This window comes from Homo sapiens, chromosome 9 (assembly GCF_000001405.40).
Source record: "Homo sapiens chromosome 9, GRCh38.p14 Primary Assembly".
Classification (NCBI taxonomy): domain Eukaryota; kingdom Metazoa; phylum Chordata; class Mammalia; order Primates; family Hominidae; genus Homo; species Homo sapiens.
Window position 1 is genome coordinate 127,193,758 of NC_000009.12, and position 20,626 is coordinate 127,214,383.

Genomic DNA, 20,626 nt, shown 5'->3' on the forward strand with positions numbered 1-20,626 from the left:
TCCAGCCATGGCCAGGCAGCCACCCCCTTGATCTGCTCTGCATTTGGTGTTCTCTGCAGGAAGCAGCTGAGCCCCTTTGTAGAGTCACTCTTTCCCACCCCCAGGGCCTGACCCAGATAGCCAGAGCTAGGCGAGCCTCTGGAGTCACCTCCCTTAAAGACCTCCCTTCCCAAGCCACAGAAACTAAAGAGTGCCACAGTGGCCAGGGTCACATTCCTCCAGACATGGCTGAAGACATGGCCAGCATGAAGGATTTGGCCTCAGTGTCTGTGTATTGTGCACAGTGAGGTTTGCGCCCCTAACTCCCTGGCTCTGGTGACCTGTTAGCCCCATGACTGGGTTGAGAAGGACATGGTAATAATTACCATAATAAATTAAGTATGAGGGCTAACTATGAAAGTCTGCGTACATTACCTCATGGACTTCTGACCACCTGCAAGGTGAGTTGAATTATTCCCACTTTTCAGATGAGGAAACTGCAGCTCAAGGGATATGTTCAGTAACCTATCCATGGTCCCAGGTAGCAAATGAAAGACCTAAGATCTGAACCCTATCTGTCTAGCTGTGCTCTTGCCCCTTTTTGTTTAATGAGTACATAGAGACCAGAAAGTGGCTGTGTAAGAGCTCAGGGGTAAGGGAATGGACTTGGTGTTAGAAGACACACTTTTTTTTGGGGACGGAGTCTCACTCTGTTGCCCAGGCTGGAGTGCAGTGGCACAATCTTGGCTCACTGCAACTTCCACCTCCCGGGTTCAAGCGATTCTTCTGCCTCAGCCTCCCGAGTAGCTGGGATTACAGGCATGCGCCACCACACCCGGTGGATTTTTGTATTTTTAGTAGAGATGGGGTTTCACCATGTTGGCCAGGCTGGTTTCGAACACCTGACCTCAGGTGATCCACCTGCCTCGGCCTCCCAAATTGCTGGGATTACAGGCGTGAGCCACCACACCCGGCCTAGAAGACATACTTTGAAGTCTCACCTCTGTCATTCACCAGCTGGATGTCCTTAGATAAGTCATGCCATGGTGAAGCAGGGCCAAGACTATCCCCATGTCCATCCATGGTGCCCTCCCTTTGGCCAGGACAGCAGGACATTGACCATCCTGAGAGTTGGTTGTCAGCCTTGGGAGTCAAGTACTATATGGAGAGTGAAGGATCAATATCTAATGAGTAGGAAGCTACAGAGCTCATATGAACCTTGCCCCACCTGTGACAGCTGGGCCAGTTGCTGTACTTCAAACCCGGGGCCCACCTCCACACCTCAACCCAGCCTGTGCAGCCCCTCACCCTCCCATCATAACCCCCGTTGTTGCTCTCTCTGCTCTGTTTGCAGGTCCCTCTGCTGGCTCCGGTTCTGCGAGGTTCAGCCGGAGGCCCACCTGTCCTGACACATCTGTTGCTGGCAGCCTCCCCACACCTCCAGTCCCCAGACACAGGAAGAGCCACAGCCTAGGCAACAAGTGGGTGACTGAGCAAGCCCTCCCGCCGGGCTTCAGACCGTCCTGCACATGGGCCTGGGCACAGTGCAGGGAATCACTTGCTGGCTGGGTCCCTCCCCTGCCCTGTTCTGGGAGTTGCTGATGAGAGCTCTTGGAATCCTGGCCAGTGCGCTTTCCTGAGGCTGGTGTGAGCTTGGGAGGAGCTGAGGGGCACTGTGGCAGCACTGACTCCACACCACCGACAGGTGTCTCAGGCTCAGCAGCTGATGGAGGAAGGGTGCAGGGAAGGGCAGGGAAGTAGCAGTGGCATTCCAGAGAATTTGCCCAAGCCCAGTTAATGACTCATGGAAAACCCCAAAGTCCAGTAGACACCAGTGACTGTCATCCAGGGCAGTGTTCAGTTTCTCATGGCATCTGCCTACAGAGCAGTGAACCTGCTGGCTCATCAGTCCTGTGAGGCCCATAGCTGGGGGACATGCGTGAGCCCTCGGCATGGCTAGGGCAACTGTGCCTGTGTCTCCAGGGCATTAGGCACAGGCTTCCGAACAGATGAGTCCCTTCCTTCCTTCCTTCCTTCCCTCCCTTCCTTTTCTCCCTTCTTCCTTCCCTCCCTCCCTCCCTTCCTCCTTCCTTCTTTCCTACCTACCTACCTACCTACCACTTCCAAGGCACAAGCTCAGCCCAGCCTAGGCAGGCCCTGGAGGAGCTCCAAGGCTGGAGGAGAAAGAGTTGCTCTTTGAGTGTTAAGCAGCCCTCTGTGCTAGACACTCTGCATATGCCTGTCAAGCATGATCTCCCTGAGTCCCCATGCAGGCCTCTGAGGTGGGTGCTATTATTACATATTTTGAGAACGAGTCTAATGAGGTTCAACAAGGTGAAGTTCGTTGCAATGGTGGAAAAACATCAGAGCAAGGGTCTGGACCCGGTGCATGTGACTCCAGGAGCAGACATCCTGGCCACAGGCCCACTGCTGCTCACCTGTGCAGCCTCATCACTCACGAGCACATCTGCTCACTCGAGCCTCATAGCCACCAGGGGGATGGGCAGGGCAAGTATCGTTATCCCCATTGGATGGATGGAGAAACTGAGGCTCAGAGAAAGGATGTGACTTGCCCAAGGTCATGGCATGAGAGAGGACAGAGCCTGGGCTGTACCGTGGCTCTGGGTGGAGGCCTTTTTCCTGCAGCTGCACCATCTGCTCCGGCCCCAGGCAGGTGTAACCACTGTCACTCCATAGATAAGGAGCTTTGCCTTCTTTCTTCCTTTCCATTTTCCAGTATGATGTGTCAGTTGAGTGTAGTTGAGAGTAAAAGTGCGACATTCCCATCGGAGAAAGCAAGGCACCTACTGGACGACAGTGTCCTAGAGTCCCGCAGCCCCCGAAGGGGCCTGGCTCTGACCTCCTCCTCTGCTGTCACCAATGGACTCTCCCTAGGTAAGCGTCTCCGGCCTGCACATGATAGGCTGGTGGGCTGTAGGCCCAGCGTGTGCTCCGTGTCTGTCTCTGTGTCACTGTGCCATGCCCAGTGGCGCTATCATTCTTGGGGACCCAGTGGCCCCTCACCTCCCTGCAGAGGTGGCTGCCTGCAGGAATCGCCCAGACCCAGGGAAACCCTTGTCTCCTAGCCTCGTGGGCTTCATGAAGAGCCCTGGATCTGTCGTCATCCTGCTGGTGGCATGGCAGGCAGGTAGAAAAAGCAGCCAAACACATGCCTGAGACCAGCTGCCATTGGCTGGCAGCTCCCCAGACCAGACTGGACCACAGTCAGGCTTCTGTCCCTGGGGGATCATGACCCACAGGGCCCTGCAGGGCAAAGCAGGAGAGGCAGCCAGGGAGGGTAGCTGGGTGGCCACTGGGTTCTCACTGCGTACTTGTCTTCACAATGGGAAGCTAGAAGGAGGGAGGATGAAAAATTGATATTCAGGGATGAAATTGCATCACTGAGTGTCAGCCAGACGTGGTGCTTATGGCAACAGAAGAGACAGAAATTGTGCTGCTGAGGCTGGGATAAGAAGAACTTGACATTAGGACTCAGGCTGGTGTTGAGCTCTGGTTGTAGGTCCGTACCCCTGCAGTGTCCAGGTCAGCTGAGGACAGGTGGGCACCGCCCTGTTATTACTGCCGTCAGGCCAGTGTGCTCTGATGCCTGTTGCCTTTCGGTGTGCCTGTGCCTCTGTGGTCTGTGTGTCTGTGTGTCTGTCGGCTTCCCTTAGCAGGGAGTCCTCCCATGGCTGGTGGTTAGACCAGTTGCCGAGCTGGGAGTTGATCTTGTGAGGACTGCAGAGCAGAGGGCCCAGAGCATGGGGGTGGGGGGCGGGAGGGGACAGGAGAAACAGGCAGGAATCACTCCCATGTCTCTGTGAAAGCAAGTCAGTCTCAGAGGGCATGGGCAATATCAGTCCAGGGGTCGCTGTCTCCCACGCCCTGGAAGTCTGACAAGCATGTTCTGTGTCTGCCTCTGTCCTCAGAGGAGGTCATCCTGTTTGGAGCCAGTCAGGGTTATACAACAGCTCAGGACGATGTGTCCGGGGTTACGAGGTGTGCCTTGGGAGAAGAGTTCCAGGTCATGCATGGGGAAAGGCTGGGTTGAGCAAAGGTGTGCAGGTTTCTTCCCAGAGACGCAGCTGTGCTGGTGGGTGGGAGTCCTCTAAGAAGGCATCAGAGTCCACAGTGTCCACATTCTTTGGTCATGGGACCCTCTTCCTTGGAGTGTCCAATGGGACCTGGGTTCTGAGGAATGCCCTCTGGGAAATGCCGGCCCAACAGCACTCAGCTGGGCGGCAAAACAGCTGTTTTATATCCAGAAAACTTTGTGAGCTGCGCCTGAGTCCAGGCCTTGCTATTCCTGAGATAGAAAACGGAGTCAGATGCAGAGCTGTCCAACGTCCAGACAGGAGATCATAAGGTTGTTTGGTTCCCGGCTCCTCAAGTTGGGGAATTGAAACTGTTTTTCTGTTTGAGGCCAAAAGCCCTGATGAAGCGGCCATTTGTGCATGTGCCCTGTTGGGAGCTGGGCTGGTCCTCCCCTCTGTGATGAGGGCTGTTACTCAGACAGATGCCAAGGGGCCTGGGATCTCCTCCCTCCCCCTTTCCCAGTGCTCAGCCTTGGTGCTCTTTCAGGCAAAGAGCACTGAACCTCAGAGCCTCTGAGGTCTGAGAGACAGTCCAGAAGCATTGCGCATGGATGCTTGGGTGAGAGGAGAAAATCTCTCCTCCAAGAGGGCTTAGAGAGCCCGGGAGAAGCAGGGTCGCCCATTCAGCCCAGAGGGACAGGCCTGAAGGAGGAATAGGGAGCAAAGCTGTGGGACCCAGCCCCTCTCTGTGACCCCACTGGCCAGGGGTCTGCAGGGGCTCTCCCTTGAGGCTTCTGTCTAATGCCAGGTAGCTGCACTGTGACCAACGTCTAGTCAAGTCCTGACCCTTGGGGAAGAGGAAGAGGTGCTCATTTGGCCTCACCAGGTGAGGCCTGTTCTAGTCCTGGCTTCACTTGGGCCAGAAGGGAGGCAGTGGTGGAGCCAGGTCAGGCCCAGAAGAAAGCCTGAGGACCCAGACCCCAGCGGGCCAGTGGGCAGTTAGCTGTGGCCCCCGGGGGCAGTGGGAAGGTAGCAGAGGACCTGCCTGGAACAGTGGTTCTTTGACCCTCCCAGAGCAGAGTTAGAACTCACAGCAAAAACTCGAGTACGTTGAGGCTCCCAATGTCAGGAAGCAGTTTCTGTGGCACTTCTGTGAGCTCAGGGGGCCTGGGCTCGGTGACCCAGGAGAACAGGCCCCTCTTCTGTGAAGCCGTTGTGCTCATTGACCTGTGTTCCTTTTCCAGGCAGTAGTGAGAGCTCAGAGTTTAGTGAAGAGATGTCTTCAGGGCTGGAAAGGTGAGTGTGGCCTCAGCATGGCCTCCCTCCCAGGGGCGGTGCTCAGGGCTGAGGGAGCCGAAGACAGGCCCCGGGCAGGGACGGGCCCTGCCCCACCCACCCCATGAGGCTGCTCTGTGGCTCCTTCAGCAGACTGGCTGGGGCAGGGCTGAGTAGGAGGGAGGATGGAAGAGCAGGATGGTTGCTGGGGCCCCAGCCCCCATGCTCTGAGCAGCCCCATGCCTCCCCTGATCCAGGAGGCTCTTCCTCCAGCACAGCTGCAGGAGGCCTGTGAGTAGATTTGGTCCGAAGTGTGGGTTCTTGAAACCAAAAGCCTAAGAAGTGGCCTGTTCTTGAGATGGGCATGTGGCTCCGCCTGGTGGGGTCTGAGAATATTGCACCCTAATGGCCTCAGGCCTTCGGTATTTATTGACCCCCACCCTGCTAGGCACTGGTGACAGGGAAGTGGCCATAGCCTCTGCCTCCCTCGAGGATCCCTCTGCCTCCCTCGAGGATCCCTCTGCCTCCCTCGAGGATCCCTCTGCCTCCCTCGAGGATCCCTTGGCCCAGGGTTTGGCTCCCTGGGAGAGCCTGTCTGCCAGGGCCCCAGGCCTCCTGCTCAGGAATTCCCATCGCACAGCTCCACGTACTAGTGTTTTCCTGTGCCAGGCGCCCGGTGATCTCTAGGAAGGCAGGCAATGCTGTGAAGGGGGTACCCCCACAGCCATGGCACCACCAGGGGTGAAGGGCATCGTGGCGACTCAGGGTTTGAGAGGAGGCGGGAAACATCCAGTGACCAGTGACACAGAATGTCCAGGAAAGGCAGGTTTGCACCAGTATCCAGGGCCCTGGGCACACACACACACGTACACATGCACACTCACATATACACACATGCCCTACACACACATATACCCATGCACACACTGTACACTTGAACTCACCTATGCTTGCAGTGTCACGTACACAGGCACACGCTCACACATGTGCTTGTGTATACATTCATATAACCACACTGTCACACGTGGGTGTATACACTCACACGTACATATGCATGCATGCATGTACCCTCTCACACATTTGTGTGCATAAACACTCATATGCATACACGCACACACACACACTCCTCCTCTGGCGCTGAAGCTTCTCTCCTTAGTCTTCATAATCATAAATTGGCCAGAGAGACGATAAGTGCTGCCTAGCAACTCCTCCCAGGGCAGACGGGCTGCCTGCTGGTCAGTGCTCTTGGTTGAGCATGGCCTGTGCCAAGCACTGTCCTGGTGCTTTGCGTGCATGGATGTACCAAATCCTCAGCACTCCTGCACAACAGCCATTCATAGTGTCCCCGTTTTATACATGTGGAAAACAAGGCTCAGAGAGGTAAAGTGACTTACTTGCTCCACACTCTGGTATGGACAGAGCTGAGCCACACCCAACAGCCTCCTGACCACTGAGCCACCTCTTCATCACTGCTCCACAGCTTGGCCAGATACGGGGACTGTCCCATATTGGTCAGTCAGTCTGTCTGCCTGTGAAACCCAAGATGGGGGTTGGTGGGGGAGTGGCGATATGCCAGCCCTCAGAGGCTCTCTCTTTCCCCTCCCCGGCCATCTGGGTTGCTCAGGCAAATGGGCCAATAGCTTTCACCCTGGGAGCCACCCCGGCAGTGGGGAGGAGAACTGGACAGGCACAAGGGCAGACTCTAGAACTCTCAGCATCAGTCAGGGGACTCCTGGGGACACCCTGAGGGAGATAGCTTACAGGCAGGCCAGCACCTCCCCTGGCCTCAGGCCAATGAGAAGACATCAAATGGCAAACAGAGGCACAGATCCTGAATAGCAGCTAGACCTGGACCTGTTGTTCATTGATTGATTCATTCTTTCACTCGCTTATTCCTTCATTCACTCACTTATTCATTCAGTAGCTGTTAAGCAGCTGCTCCCTGCCAGACACCACACGAGTTACTGAAGGTGTAGCAGATATAGTTCCTGCTAAGTACTCATGACTGAGATTAGAGCTTCTAGGAAGGAGGGTGGTGAGAAAGAATTCCTTGTCCCAGGGAGATGATGCTGTTTGCAATGCTGTCATGATCACTGTAGGCCACAGCATTTCATAGCATTTAGATCACTATCCATCTGAATGTCTAGAATAGGTGATTTTGGGATCTCTTCCAAGCACTGGTCTCATGGCTGGCGCAGATGCCCGGCTCTGCCTCCAGCAGTCTTGAAACATCCCTGCAGGGAGGATGTCCTGTTTCTCATCCTCTGAGGATGGCTTTTGGCCCAGCCCCACCTTGCTGAGGGGAGCAGGGGGCCACCTGCTTTGGAGGATGCCAGTGGGCCTGCGATGTCTCCCCCAGTCAAGACCCAGGCCCCGTGCAGTCCTGATGAGCAGATGCCAGTTGCCCCTTGGCCACCGGCCTCCATCTCCATCCTGCACTGCTTCTTACATTCCCTGAAATAATCCACACTCGCAAAAGCAAAGGAGCATTCTGGACCTTCCTGGAGAGTCCACAGGAGAGTCGGAGGGGAAGATTGACCTCTTGCAGCTTGAAAATCTTCATTGCCTGTGGCTCTCTTCTTTCAGTTACTCACCTTCATGCTCTTTCCTGGGTCTTCTCTATTCCTGACCTTCATGGGCCCGATGCTTAGCTCCTCCAGGTCCTCCCTCCACTCCCAGCTCTCACCCAGGCCAAATCCTCCTACTCTAATGGGGAGCAGACTCCCTCTCCCTCAGAAGACTGAGTGTCAGCCTGCCTGGGCCCAGAGGCCAGCACCTGCCCTGAAAGAGCTTCCCCTCCTCGGAGACCCCACGAGCTGTTCCCTGCAGATGCCGTAAGAACACAGCTTTCTCTGCAGGCCGCACCGCTCGAGCAGACAGAGGCCGTGGAGCCAGAGCCAAGGGTGCAGGGGAGGCCTGGGCCACGCAGAGAAGTGAGGTGTGAGAGAGGAGAGGGGGAGGCTTGGCCGTGGTGGGGGAGACAGCATTTCGCCCCACAGCTCTGAAGCGCAGGGGCCACACTCTTCTATTGAAGATTGCCACCAGCCCCCTGCCCCTCAACCCTGGTAATAAGCCTGCCCAGGCTAGGAAGAGAAATAGAGCCAGATGCCAAGACGAAAGCCAGGAAGACCCCAGGCCAGTTCCTCCACACCACACACACCTCTGGTGGGTTGAGGGCACACCTTCATCACTAAGAATGCCACTGTCAGCAGGCAGGCAGGAGTTTCTATTGTCTGGCCAGGGGTGAGACTCTGCATGCCCGTCTGGTGAATTTGCCTTCCCTGAGTTTATGCACATAGATGTCTCCTCTTTGGGTAGTAGCCAGAGTTCAGGCTGCAGATGCCCAGTAGGTCCCCATAGTGTTCGGCCATAAAGAGCTTCCACACGGGAGCTGGAGCCCACTGAGGCCTGCGGAGCTGCTGTACTGCCCTCGGTGGGAATGGGTCTGTTCCTACTGGACTGTGGAACAAGGGTGCAGAGAGCAAAGGGGACCCTCTTCTGCTCTTCATCCTCCTGTCTCCTCACCCATGTCAGCCTTGGCAAGGACACAGGGCCTGTGGGGTCGGGGAGGGGCAGTGAGATGCAGGGAGGTGTTTGTTAGTCACTTCTGAGCCCCCAGGCTGCCTTAAAGACCCTCCCCTACCCTTGGGGCCCAGAATGAGGACAGGGTGGTGATCCTGGGCCAGGGCCCTCAGGAACCAGAGAGCTATGGGCAGGGGTGGGCCTGCTCTTCTCTGTGACTCCACCTAGTGTCCCTGGTCAGCAGTCTTCCTCACCTCATGCCGGGGAGAGTAGGGGCGAGGAGAGAAGGGGGGCCCCCAGCACACTCTGCTCTCCCAGGGAGGTGGGGAGGCGGCCGCAGGGCAGCGGCCGCAGGGCATTCAGTTACCTGGAGAGGAGGGCTGTGGGCTTGTCAGGATGATCTCCAACCAACCTCGGGCCCCTTGGAAACCAACAGGGAAGGGAGCGTTTAGTCAGGAGCAGCAGTAATGGATAACAGATGCCTTTTTCTGCCTGATTTGGAAAGCAAGTGTTGGCACTAAGATGAAAACAAGAATATCAGCCTACGAGTTAAAGGATTTTAAATGAGGTGTTTTTAAAAAGATGAACAAAGTGGATTGTAGCGGCGATCATGTATGTATATATGAAAATAGAGTCTCACTCATCCTGAGTATTTCTGGTCTCCAGGTTTATTGAGTGAGTTTATTTTCCCTGTATTCTTCAGATTTTCCACAGTGTGTAAATGTTTCTTTTCTACCCAGAAAAACAATTAACATTTAACTGTATAAAAGAAAACATAATCAGAAATGATTACTGATCAGTTTTTAACAATTGAAGTATGAAAGTGCCACAAAGTTGATTACGAAACCCTTGGCCACCATCTCCCCTGGTCGGAATCACCTGTCTCTGTGGAAGGGCCTTCTCGTGTGAGGCACAGGCTGTAATACAGGTAGTGGGAAGCGTAGGGGATGGGGGGGTCCTTGGAAGGCCCAGGGTGAGAGGAGGCCCCTGTAGTGGGTGAGGGAAGTGAGGCTGGGGCAGGGTTGGGGGGCACAGTGCACAACCCTCTCTGAAGCAAAGCCCATTCCTCTTCCTGCTCTGGGGGAGGTGAGGGAATGGGTCAGAGCTCAGAGTCTTAAATAAGTCCTGTCAGGGAAGCAGTTGTGCAGGATGCAGTGGGAGGATCCAACAGGGCGACCTGCATGAGGCACCAGGCTCAGAGGTGGCTTCTGGAGGAGGGGATGGTTAAGCAGCAGCCCAGGACATTTAGTGAAGAGGACCCTAGAGAGCCCTCGAGGCAGGACCTGGGACCTGAAGAGGCTGTGGCCTGTGAATCATGCACCAGGCTGGGACAGATGGCCCAGGGCTTGGTGTCTGTTAGAGTCTCATACAGGCTGGGCCCCATGGCAGGTCCTCTTCTCTGGAGTTCTCCGTTGACCTCCACAGTGAAAGGCACAGCCAGCCATGCGGGGGGACCTGAAGTTAGGACCACTGATCCTCCCAGGTCCTTGGGCAGCTCTCAGTACCTCTGAGCCTCCATTCCTCAGCCCTGTGATGAGGCTAGGCACAGTGAAGATCTAACACATAGGTGGAGCTACCACATCTGAGGAACTGATTTAGGGACTTTTTTTTTTGTTTTAGACAGAGTCTCACTCTGTTTTCCAGGCTGGAGTGCAGTGGCACTGTCATAGCTCACTGCAGCCTTGATCTCCCAGGCTCAAGTGATCCTGCTGTCTCTGCCTCCCAAGTAGCTGGGTACAGGTACACGCCACCATACCTGGCTAGCTTTTTTATTTTCATTTTTCAGTAGAGATGGGGGCCACCCCCACTTCCAAAGTGCTGGGATGACAGGCAGGAGCCACTATGTCCAGCCTGAGTTGGAGACTTTTATGAATTTCCCTCAATAGGTACTACTTACCACCAAGAAAGCAACCCAGGGGTCTAAGGCTGGGTAGGGGGAAGAAAAGTTTCCTCAAATGCAGTTCAGTCATCATGGGAGGGATGGACTGGAGTGATGGCAAATTTCTACCAGCACCTGCTGGCCTCCAGGATGACACTGGACTGTGGGAGGGCCCCTCTAAGAGGTCGCTGCAGACAGTTGCCCCTCAGAGTGCTGTGGGGTGGTGCTGTAGGGCGTTCAGGGAGTTGGGTGATGCAGTTTCTGCCCATGTGAGGTTTACCTGTTCGTTTTAGCTGGTGGGATCATCCGACATCCTTAGGGAGGCACCAGGGAAATGCAGTCATGGTGACAGAGCACCAAGTCTCCTGCCCCAAAAACTGAGTTTTAAAAGACACTTGTTTCCTTCCTTGAGAAGATCAGAGGACCCTGGTAGATGCCCAGGTCTGCCAGGTCCCAAGGATGCCTCTCAAGCCCCAAACTCTGCAGTATTTTGGGAGAGGCAGGCCAGGCTCTGGAGGCGATCCCGCAGGTGATAGGTCCCCTTGGCTGCAGCAGACATGCCAGTGGCCATTCTCAGGGTGACTACCGCAGAGGACCTCACTGTCCCCCACACCTGTGGCTGAGGCCAGGATCCCAGGCTCTCATTCTTCCCCTGAGTCTGGTGTCCTCGGGTTCATTCTGCTGCCTGGTGCCTGGCTTCAGTGCTCTGGACAGTTGGCCTATCTCTCCTGCATGAGACTCAGAGACACTGAGCCCTGGGCCATCTGTCCCAGCTTGGTGCATGACTCAGAGCCTGCAGCCTCTTCAGGTCCCAGGCCCCCCGTCGAGGGATCACTAGGGTTCTCTTCACCAAATGTCCTCTGGGTGGCAGCCCAGTTAGAAAATTTGCCAGCTTCTGATTTGGGTTTCCCTCCGATATGTGATCTCTTGCCTTACTCCCTTAGCTCCAAACACTAAAGTCTGGCAGTTGAGGCTCCAGCCAGCAGACTGAGAGAAGTCTGCAGAGAGAAGAGTGCACAAAGAACCCCTGGCCTCTAGGTGCCAGGGCTTTTTGCTTGACTCTGTTTTCGAGCCCTGCCAGGCAGCTGTTGCTGCTTCATGGGTAGCTGGGAAATCTCTGCCCACAGCTTCTCTGTCCAATATCTACAATTCCTCCAGAGTCAGCACCTAGAAAGCGGGCAGGACGCTCCTTCCATCTTGTGTCCATCCTTCTCTGTGCATATCTGCTTTACCCCTCCCCACTCTCTCTCAGACAAGATTTCTGAACTTCTCAGTGCACAGAGGGGAAGATGGATGATGCCTCATGGCAACTTGGGATGCCTCCCAGGTTTACATGTGATAGTTTCGCCCAGCCACTGAGCCTCACTTTCAGCCTCTCAGATCTGGTTCCTAATCACCAGGAGAGAAGATCTGGCATACCTGGCTTGGATCACTGGTGTTGCCCTGTCCACTTAGCTGTCAGAAGGATGGGGACATACAGTACAAATGTGGTTCCTAGGGACCCACTTAGTGAATCAGGGACATTGCCCAGAGAAGAGTGGGTGGCCCATAGAAAGCAAATGTCCTTCAAAAATTGCTGCTAGAAGGGACAACCCAGGGCCCAGCAGAATTCAGGGTAGCAGCTTCCTGCCTGAAGATGAGAGTGAAGCATCAGAAAGTGGCCAGCATAGGCCATGGCCTAATTGGATGGCTTCCCATCCAGGGTGCGCAGGCGCAGGTGGACACTGCTGATCAGTAGCATCACCTGGGCCCTTCCACATGTGCACTCCTACCCAGGCTCTGTGGACTTGAGGCTGGGGCTCTGTGTACAGAAGATTAGGGAAAGTATATTAGTCTGTTCTCACGCTGCTAATGAAGACATACCCGAGACTAGGTAATTTATAAAGGAAAGAGGTTTAATTGACTCACAGTTCAGCATGGCTGGAGAGGCCTCAGGAAACTTACAGTCATGGTGGAAGGCGAAGCAAACATGTTCTTCTTCATATGGTGGTAGCAAGGAGAAGTGCTGAGCAAAAGGGGGAAGAGCCCCTTAGAAAACCATCAGATCTTGTGAGAACTCACTCACTATCATGAGAACAGCAGCATGGGGGTAACCACCCCCATGATTCAGTTACCTCGCACTGGGTCCCTCCCATGACACGTGGAGATTATGGGAACTACAATTCAAGATGAGATTTGGGTGGGGACACAGCCAAACCATATCAGGGAGGGATCCTACTTCTACTAAGACCAAGATTACCAAGGCCTCAACATAATTATTTTCTGGGGAGGTTGCTCTCCAACCTCCTAGCCCAGAAACAGGGACTTAGGGCTTTATGAAATGTAAGCCCCAGGATACCTACAACCTAATGTGTACCTAGAAAATGATGGAGTGAAGATGGCCTTTCAGACCTGCTTGACTAGTCTGAATTCTCATGATGCTGTTGGCTCAGGAAGTGCCCTGGCCACTTCCACCTCAATAGCACCACCTACTCTGCCTCTTCCCAGTGTCGTGATCTTGGGCAAGTGACTCTACGTCTCCAAGCATCAGGTTCTTTATCTATAAGGTGGGGATAATAATAGTGCCTACCTCACAGTGTTATATGAATAAATGAGATGCTGAGCGAATCCTGCTTAGCACATTGCCTGGCACCCATTGTCTCATCACCACCACCACCGTTACCACCATCACCATCCTCATTTCATCCTCCCACTTTTACTGTCACCACCACCACCACCATCATCGTTATCCCATCATCTCATTGTCCCATCATTATCATCATCCCATGACCCCATCCTCCTGCTCATCATCACCTTGTACACCCCTTGGGACTGAAGTGTTCTACTTTGTTGCCAGTCGATGTCTTCCCCAGACCCAGGTTCCCACAAGCTCCTGGTCTGGGCAAGCCTCAATTGCCTGTTGCAGTCCTCCTTCTGACTCCACCTAAGATCCCTGAGAGGGATCTTAGTCAAACGGCCTTCCTAGGACACTGTGTTCAGCCACAGGTTCTCAGAATGACACTGGGAAAGGTGTCTGTGGTTCTGGGCTATGAGCCCCTATGTCAGTTACCAAAAAACAAACAAACAAACAAACAAAAACTATGATTTCTGGGGTTCCTCTGATACCACCACCCAATCATTTTGCATTTTCTGGCCCTGAACATTCAAATAACAAATTTTCTCAAAGCAGGGACATTTCCAGACACTTTCGGTTGTCTGGTTCCAGTGGCTGAAGATCCTAGCTCCTCTATGCTGATGCTGGCCTGCCAGGCAGCCAGAGTTGCCCTGCCCAGCACGGTCCTCCTCCAGCTCTGGAGGACTCACCTGGAGGGAAGGCTGGCCACTTCCACCCTAACTCTGTGTTCCTAAAGGCTGGCCTGGAGAAAGGTCACACTGGTGCCGCCCTTCAAGGCCTGGGGTCGCTCCCCGTGGCTCCAGAGAGAGCAGGCTCTGACTTCCATAGCCTGGAGCAGCCACCCCGGCACAGGCCCTCCACCCGCACCAGAAAATGAGCCTCCCTTTGTGAACACTTGAGTCTCTATCTCTAATGACAGGCCAGCAGGGTGGGACAAGTGGCTTCACCTCCTTGAGCCTCAGTTTCCTCATCTAAAACTGTGAGAACCGGGCCCCTCTCACAGAGCTGGGCATGCTCTTGTGTGAAAGCATGTAGTTGGCACGTGGCGTGCAGTTGAGTAGAGGCAGCTGCTCTTCAGTGCCAGGCAGCAACTGCCAGGAGACTGCTCCACTGGGGCCACCAAGGGACCAGGAGACCTGGAGGTGGCCCTATTCTGGGAGATCCCCAAGCCTAAGAATCTTGTGGTCATTCGGTCTCAGACACTGACAAATCCCAGGCAGCGTGAGTGCAGGTGGGGACCCACAAGTAGAGGTGCCTCTGAGAGGATAATGCCAGAAAGGGCCCCCACAGTGGGTCCAGTCCCAATGACAGACCCCACCATGTTTATGCTGCCGCCTCTCCCTTATCCTGAAAGGCTTTATCTCACAGTGTGGTGAGGAACTTGGGCTGCAGAGTCAGACAGTCCTGGGTTCAAGTCCTAGCTTACAAGGCTCATGCCTTGGTCAAGCAGATTCACATCACTGAGCCTCAGTTTCCTCATTGTGGGGACGGTAAGGGTGCTTTACACAAAGCTTCGGTGGCAGCGCGAGTGCACTCGATGAAGTTGCAGGAGCATCAGAGCATGTGAGCACTCACTACCTAGTGACTGCTTGATCTGTCAAGAGCCCACCCAGAGACCCCTGGTGTCCCTGTGCTCCCCGCCAGTCCACTCCTCACTCCTTGAGGGAGGACATGAGGAAAGGCTGCTTACGAGGCTAGCCTGCTTGGAAGATGCTCGTTTCAAGCTCTCCATCAACAGATGTCAGTTCCTTCAAACATCTGTGAAATACAAAGCCACGCACTGTCTCACGCAAAGGGAGAGAATGATGGGAAGAAGGTAGCCACGCTGGCCACCATGCCCTGTCTCAGGTACTGTGGGAATTCCGGACAGTCCACTGGCATCACATTCTCCTCAGGTAGCGGGGAAAAAGACTCACGAGAAGAAAAGTGGCAAAGGGGCCAGAGGGCCCTGCTCTGGGAAGGGGGACTCCATCCTCAACTCCCAACAGTCAGCAGCTCAGAGCTGGAATCCAGCCCAGGTGAGGAGGAAACATCCCTGGATAGCAGACAAAGCCACAAAGGATCTCACTGCAAGAAAGTCCATTGTCAGACCCTGCTCAGAAGAAATCCCCGGTGATTCTCAGAAGAAAGCCCCGGGGCTGGAAGAAGAGCAGCCCCGGAGGTAGCCGTGGCCAGTTCCCCTGAGCAGTGCTGCTTCTGCATGGGCTAGCGACCTGGCCGTGCTAGTGCACTCACTTGCGAGGTGCCCAGCATGTGGTGCCGGTAACAGTGAAGTTGGTGACTGTTTGACTTGTCCAAAATGAGAGAATCATGGTTATCTGCATGAGTCATGTTCACTTGCTGCACTCCACCCCTCTTTCTGAGAGGGAGGTGGCCATTGGGCCAGTGGCCTGGGAGTTGAGCACACCAGGGCCTCTCTTGTCTGTGCTACAGCTCAGTATGGGTGGTGGTGGGGTCAGCCTATTACCACCCTGACACCCGTTAGGTTAGAGGACTGGGGGTCCAAGCACATGCTATGGTATACCATCACCCAGAGAGGAGGAGCCGATGGGCAGGAGGCTCGGGGGCCTGGAGCAGCCGTCCCAGCTAACCATCAGACTCCCACCAGCCCTGAAATTGGGCCCCTGGACAGTGGACCCGAGATGGCCATCAAGAAGAGCTCCTTCCTGGGAGGAGGACAAAGGCCCCTGGGCAGGTACGATGTACCTGCTGCAATGTGTGAGGGCGGCCCCACACTACCCACAGGTACTGATGTCACAGAGCAACGGCTGACCATGGAGGACTGAGGGGATCTTACAAAGGAACTCTGGGCCTCATCTGACTTTATTAAGTTGATTACATTGTTGTCTGGCCAACGGGCAAGAAGAGCTGTGGTCAGAGAATAGGCCATGCCTCAAGGGTGGGGAGAAGGTTGGAACATCAAGTGGATACGGGAAGTGAGTCTTCTAAGACAGAGAGGCTAAAGGAGAAAGAGGGTGCCTCCCCGCGAAGAGGCTGAACAGGAAGCTGCACGTTGCCCTGGAAAGGCTCACTGCTGGGGAGTGCATGTGAGAGGAAAGCCAGAGGGCCGCCCACGGAGCAAGCTTGGAGCATGGACTCTTGGATGCTGCAGCAGGTCACAGAGCGAGTTTGCAGGGGCCTGGCTGGAGCCGCAGAGGAGACTGTCCAGTCGAGAGCAAACAGAAGGCTCCGGTTGTGTCCTGGTGAATGACCCCCAGGCCCAACATGCAAGGTTGCCCACAATTCTGTGTGCACTTTTCACGTGGACTTGCCGTGGACTATCTGGGCTGTACAGTGTTTGCTATGAAACATCTCAGCCCCATGCTGAGGCAAGTGGGCGTGCCTGGATTTTAATCATGCTCTTGACACTGGAAAAAGGGTGAACACTCAATAAAAAGTTGAAAGAATTACGCGGAGACTTGGAGACTCTGAGGGGTGCTGTGTTTACTGGCCTGGCAGCTCCAGGTGTGCTTGTAGTGTGGCCGAGGAGGCTGGGGAGGAGTTGGGGAGGGAGGGAGGTTGCTCTGCGGGACTTCCTGAGCTAATTGACTATGTTGTCGGGGTGCTCTTGCCTCCTTCAGGAGCATCTGGTCTTTCAAAGCTGTTGCTAAAATTTAACCCTTTTCCTCTGAAGCAGGGGACGTCTCTATGCCACCCTGGGGCCCAACTGGCGGGTTCCAGTTAGGAATTCTCCCAGAACCCGGAGCTGTGTCTACAGGTATTCATGTGTTCATGTGTTCATTTGTTTGACACATAGCTTGTTATGTGGCCTTTTGGATGCCAAGCACTGTGCTAGAGGCTGCCGAAAGAAACAGACACAGCCTTTGCCTACATGAGTCTACTGCCAGGTGCACTGGCTGTCCCAGAGGAGGTGAGGGGCACTCAGGAAGAGGAGGGGGAGCTTACTTGGTTCGGGAGATCAGGGAAGGCCTCCCTGAAGAAGAGACTGGAAGAATGATAGGAATTCGCCAAATAATTGGAAGTGGAGGGGCAATGAGAATGTTCCCAGCAAAGGGACAGCATGGGCTATGAGGCAGGAAGAGCTGGGTGATTCGAGTGAAGGGAAGGGAGTGTTGGAAGGAATGAGAGAGGGCAGGGACATGAGATGAGCTGGAGCCACATCCAGCATGCATCATCCAGCAGGGGTGAGAATGGTGGCTCAGATCTTAAAAGCGACAGGAAGCCATGAAAGGGGCTTGCTGTGGGCAGGTGGAGGAGAGGAGAGGGGGAGGGTGGAGGCACTGGCCGGTGTGGACCCAGGAAGGCCCGTGGAGCGCACTGGGCAGTGGCTCGAAGGAAGGTCCAGTGGCCTGAGGTGTAGTGGGATGGCGAAGATGGATGGTCAGACATATTTAGTGCCTGATCCCCAGTGCATCCTTGGGATTGATTAGGTTGCAGGGGCATCCGAGAGGAAGAAAATCCCCGCTTTCTGGCTGAAGCAGCCAGTAGGGGGTGGTGCCATTCCTGAGGCACCGGCAGATCCGGAGCTCAGGAGGGAGGTGTGGGCTGCCATGCCCTTGGACGCCTTCATCTGTAGGTGGTGCTTGAGTCCCCAAGGGAGAGGGTGAGTGAAGAGCCCGGGAAAGATGTGGGGAATGGTGCGTGTGGGCTCGCGTCCCTCCTGTCCCTCCACACCACCTCTTCCCTTCCTCGCTGCTCTCTGAGGCTCCTGCCAACACCAGAAGGAGGGGCTGCTGGAGCTGGGGCTTCACAGGCACCAGCTCCTCAGGTGTGGAGGAGCCCACGCCAGCCCCAGGGAGCGGCCAGGCTGTAGCCGTGACAAAAGCATCCCTTAGGGTGGGGGTGCTGATCAGGGCCTGGGTTATGAGGAACTTGGTCACCAAGCCTGGAGCTTTGCAGCCCCAGAGACAGGTGTGGGAGTCCTTGGCGGTGGGCCCTTCATGTGCGTTATCACCTGGCCCTCCCCTCCGGGCCTTGCTCTGCGCCGTTAAGTCTGGACTGCTGGGATGTCATGGACTTGGTAGTGGGGCACCTGTGGTCCCCAGTGAGTGAGAGGGTGCTTGACCTCAGCTCCTCCAGGGCGATGTCTGACTGGTAGTCTCTCCTCAGCCCCACCGGCCCGTGCATCTGTTCTCTGGGGAACTCCGCAGCTGTGCCCACCATGGAGGGGCCTCTGAGAAGAAAAACCCTGCTCAAGGAAGGGCGGAAGCCTGCGGTAAGTACAGACCCACATCCACCGGGGCAGCAGGGGCTTCCACATCTGTAAATAGTGCCCACTCCTAGAGGTCTCAGCAAAAGTCACATGCATGGCAGAGGCTCTGCTTGCAGTGGGCATGCAGCGAGCTGAACTCTCAGGAATTATACCTGACACTGCCGTAAAATGAACAAAGGGAAGGCTCCTTGAGTAAAGGAGCAAGAGACGGGAGGGAAGACGCCTCCTGTCTTGGTCCTAGGTGGAAGTTGGCATTGCCAGGGGGTGGTGGAGGGCCAGGGAAGAGATGGGGCCTGCACTGGCATTGATGGGATGGCTGGGTCTGTAATCGGCCAGGGATCCTCTACCCCCACGACCCCTGGTGGCATCACTCAGCCTCCCCTTCCTCTGTAGCTGTCCTCGTGGACCAGGTACTGGGTCATACTCTCAGGATCCACCCTCCTGTACTACGGAGCCAAGTCCTTGCGGGGCACAGACAGAAAACACGTAAGTCCCTTGAAAGGACTCTAGTGCTGGGACTTCCTCTAGTGGGGAAGGGACCTCTGTGAACTGTGGAGGATGGGGGTGGGAAAGGGATCTGTGTGAACTGCGGAGGATGCAGGTGGGAAGGCGGCAGGGGAGGGAGGAAGCCTTGCCTGGCCCACGTCGGCCTCCCTTGTGGAGTGGAGGGCTGGGCCCCGGTCTCCGGATGTGTTGTTGCTCTCCTCCAGTATAAATCCACACCTGGCAAAAAGGTTTCCATCGTGGGCTGGATGGTGCAGCTGCCCGATGACCCCGAGCACCCAGATATCTTCCAGCTGAACAACCCTGACAAAGGTAGGCAGCAGGCCAGAGCTGGCGCCTGCAGCTGCTCTCTGCCCATTTCCTCTCTTGCACAGCGTGCATTTTGAAATTATTAGGAGCTTTTGAGGCTGCTGCCTTCCCTTTGCTTTAGATTCTGACGTTCATGGGGTCCATGCTAGTCCACAAAAGCTGCATAGATCATGGTTGGCATGTCCATTGAGAAGGGTATGAGGCACAGGGTGCTGGAATCCTTTTTGCAGCCTTACCTATGGCTGCTGGGGCCCATCACTCCAGGAGCTGTAGTCTTACGGTCTTGGAATAAATAGTAAGGCTGGATGAGGCAGGGCCATGAGGCTGGAAGGGTCTTGGCTCTGGGGAGATTTCAGGGATCCCCTCACATGCCTGTGCCATAAGACTCTGGCAGTGTCCAGTTCCAAGGCCAACTCAGAGAAGAACCCTTTTAACTTCCCAAAGCTCCAGCCTTCTCTAGCTATCTCCCAGTTCCTCCCGGTTCCCACTTCATGATCATGCTGGGAAGGAGGAGAGATTCTGGATGCCATCCTGTCCAGTAGCCCTGTCTTCACTGACATTCAGAACAGACTATGGTGGGTCTCCTCAGTAACCCATGTCACATGACAAAAACCCAAAATTGCCTGGGTCAGTTGGATTCCAACCAGGCAAACTGATTTGGGCTGGAAAATCCCCACGCATTTTCACACCTTAACAGGAATGTTCTACTGTAGGGTTCATGAACACACAAATCACCTGGGGATTGATTAAAATTCAGATTTGGATTCAACAGATCTGGGGGTAGAGACCAAGATTCTGCATTTCCAGCAAGCTCCCGGGCGATGCAGATGGCAGTGCTGGTGGGGAGACCATGCCTTGAGTGTCAGGCTCTAATGTTCTTAGCTGAGAAGCAGAGAAACAAAGGGAGCCTCCAGGAGCCTGGAATGGGGAAGAGATAAATTACCAAGTTCTCTGCTCCGTGTCTGAGTGACTGAAGCCACATTTGTTGCACACATGTGGCAGTGTGTCCTGAGTTTGGATACCATTTGAGTTTCTTCCTCCCTCAACAGTCTGGACCGGATTAGCAGTGGTTTCTTAAGGAAATGTGACACAAGGGGTGGCCAGGGTCCATGGATGGAATTCAAGAGGTCTGTGAACTTGGGTGGAAAAAAAAAATGCATCTTTGTTTTCAGTTACTTGTGACTACTTCAGTTATGAGTATAAGCATCCATCAACAAAAATGTTAGCAATACCTGTGATTTTTATCTCCAAGAGGAATCACATATTGTTACAGACATTTCAAAATGTCACTTATGCTCATCTCTTTTACAGTGCAGTATCGGACCGTACTAGATCTG

The 20,626-nt window shown here is 54.7% G+C and overlaps 1 protein-coding gene across 54 annotated transcripts in view, besides 8 other annotated features; it reads left to right on the forward strand.

Moving 5' to 3' along the window:
- Positions 1 to 20,626, forward strand: part of RALGPS1 (Ral GEF with PH domain and SH3 binding motif 1) — a 308,385-nt gene that overhangs the window by 278,976 nt on the left and 8,783 nt on the right. For 15 of the 54 annotated variants that reach the window (XM_047424138.1, XM_047424146.1, XM_047424152.1 and 12 more), the window contains 5 exons: positions 1,334 to 1,460; positions 16,938 to 17,021; positions 18,374 to 18,479; positions 18,870 to 18,962; positions 19,187 to 19,292. In XM_047424138.1, coding sequence (XP_047280094.1) covers positions 1,334 to 1,460; positions 16,938 to 17,021; positions 18,374 to 18,479; positions 18,870 to 18,962; positions 19,187 to 19,292 — 516 coding nt within the window. Of the gene's footprint in view, positions 1 to 1,333; positions 1,461 to 2,716; positions 2,875 to 5,257; positions 5,310 to 16,937; positions 17,022 to 18,373; positions 18,480 to 18,869; positions 18,963 to 19,186; positions 19,293 to 20,626 lie in introns of all 54 variants that reach the window. The other 39 variants (XM_011519233.2, XM_047424127.1, XM_047424135.1 and 36 more) reach the window with 8 other exon arrangements.
- Positions 1,082 to 1,582: an enhancer, noted in NCBI's record as "H3K4me1 hESC enhancer chr9:129957118-129957618 (GRCh37/hg19 assembly coordinates)". NCBI's record gives its function as "activates a minimal SCP1, AML or CMV promoter by ChIP-STARR-seq in primed H9 embryonic stem cells {active_cell/tissue: H9 hESC(primed)}" and the evidence as "EXISTENCE:reporter gene assay evidence [ECO:0000049][PMID:30033119]".
- Positions 1,573 to 1,867: an enhancer, noted in NCBI's record as "tiled region #1494; HepG2 Activating non-DNase unmatched - State 8:EnhW". NCBI's record gives its function as "activates a minimal TATA promoter and a strong SV40 promoter by Sharpr-MPRA in HepG2 cells {active_cell/tissue: HepG2}" and the evidence as "EXISTENCE:reporter gene assay evidence [ECO:0000049][PMID:27701403]".
- Positions 5,336 to 5,385: an enhancer, noted in NCBI's record as "active region_29035". NCBI's record gives its function as "activates an Ori minimal core promoter by ATAC-STARR-seq in GM12878 lymphoblastoid cells {active_cell/tissue: GM12878}" and the evidence as "EXISTENCE:reporter gene assay evidence [ECO:0000049][PMID:35858748]".
- Positions 5,497 to 6,485: an enhancer, noted in NCBI's record as "H3K27ac-H3K4me1 hESC enhancer chr9:129961533-129962521 (GRCh37/hg19 assembly coordinates)". NCBI's record gives its function as "activates a minimal SCP1, AML or CMV promoter by ChIP-STARR-seq in naive H9 embryonic stem cells {active_cell/tissue: H9 hESC(naive)}" and the evidence as "EXISTENCE:reporter gene assay evidence [ECO:0000049][PMID:30033119]".
- Positions 13,752 to 14,252: an enhancer, noted in NCBI's record as "H3K4me1 hESC enhancer chr9:129969788-129970288 (GRCh37/hg19 assembly coordinates)". NCBI's record gives its function as "activates a minimal SCP1, AML or CMV promoter by ChIP-STARR-seq in naive H9 embryonic stem cells {active_cell/tissue: H9 hESC(naive)}" and the evidence as "EXISTENCE:reporter gene assay evidence [ECO:0000049][PMID:30033119]".
- Positions 14,253 to 14,753: an enhancer, noted in NCBI's record as "H3K4me1 hESC enhancer chr9:129970289-129970789 (GRCh37/hg19 assembly coordinates)". NCBI's record gives its function as "activates a minimal SCP1, AML or CMV promoter by ChIP-STARR-seq in naive H9 embryonic stem cells {active_cell/tissue: H9 hESC(naive)}" and the evidence as "EXISTENCE:reporter gene assay evidence [ECO:0000049][PMID:30033119]".
- Positions 16,287 to 16,804: an enhancer, noted in NCBI's record as "H3K27ac-H3K4me1 hESC enhancer chr9:129972323-129972840 (GRCh37/hg19 assembly coordinates)". NCBI's record gives its function as "activates a minimal SCP1, AML or CMV promoter by ChIP-STARR-seq in naive H9 embryonic stem cells {active_cell/tissue: H9 hESC(naive)}" and the evidence as "EXISTENCE:reporter gene assay evidence [ECO:0000049][PMID:30033119]".
- Positions 18,359 to 18,876: an enhancer, noted in NCBI's record as "H3K27ac-H3K4me1 hESC enhancer chr9:129974395-129974912 (GRCh37/hg19 assembly coordinates)". NCBI's record gives its function as "activates a minimal SCP1, AML or CMV promoter by ChIP-STARR-seq in primed H9 embryonic stem cells {active_cell/tissue: H9 hESC(primed)}" and the evidence as "EXISTENCE:reporter gene assay evidence [ECO:0000049][PMID:30033119]".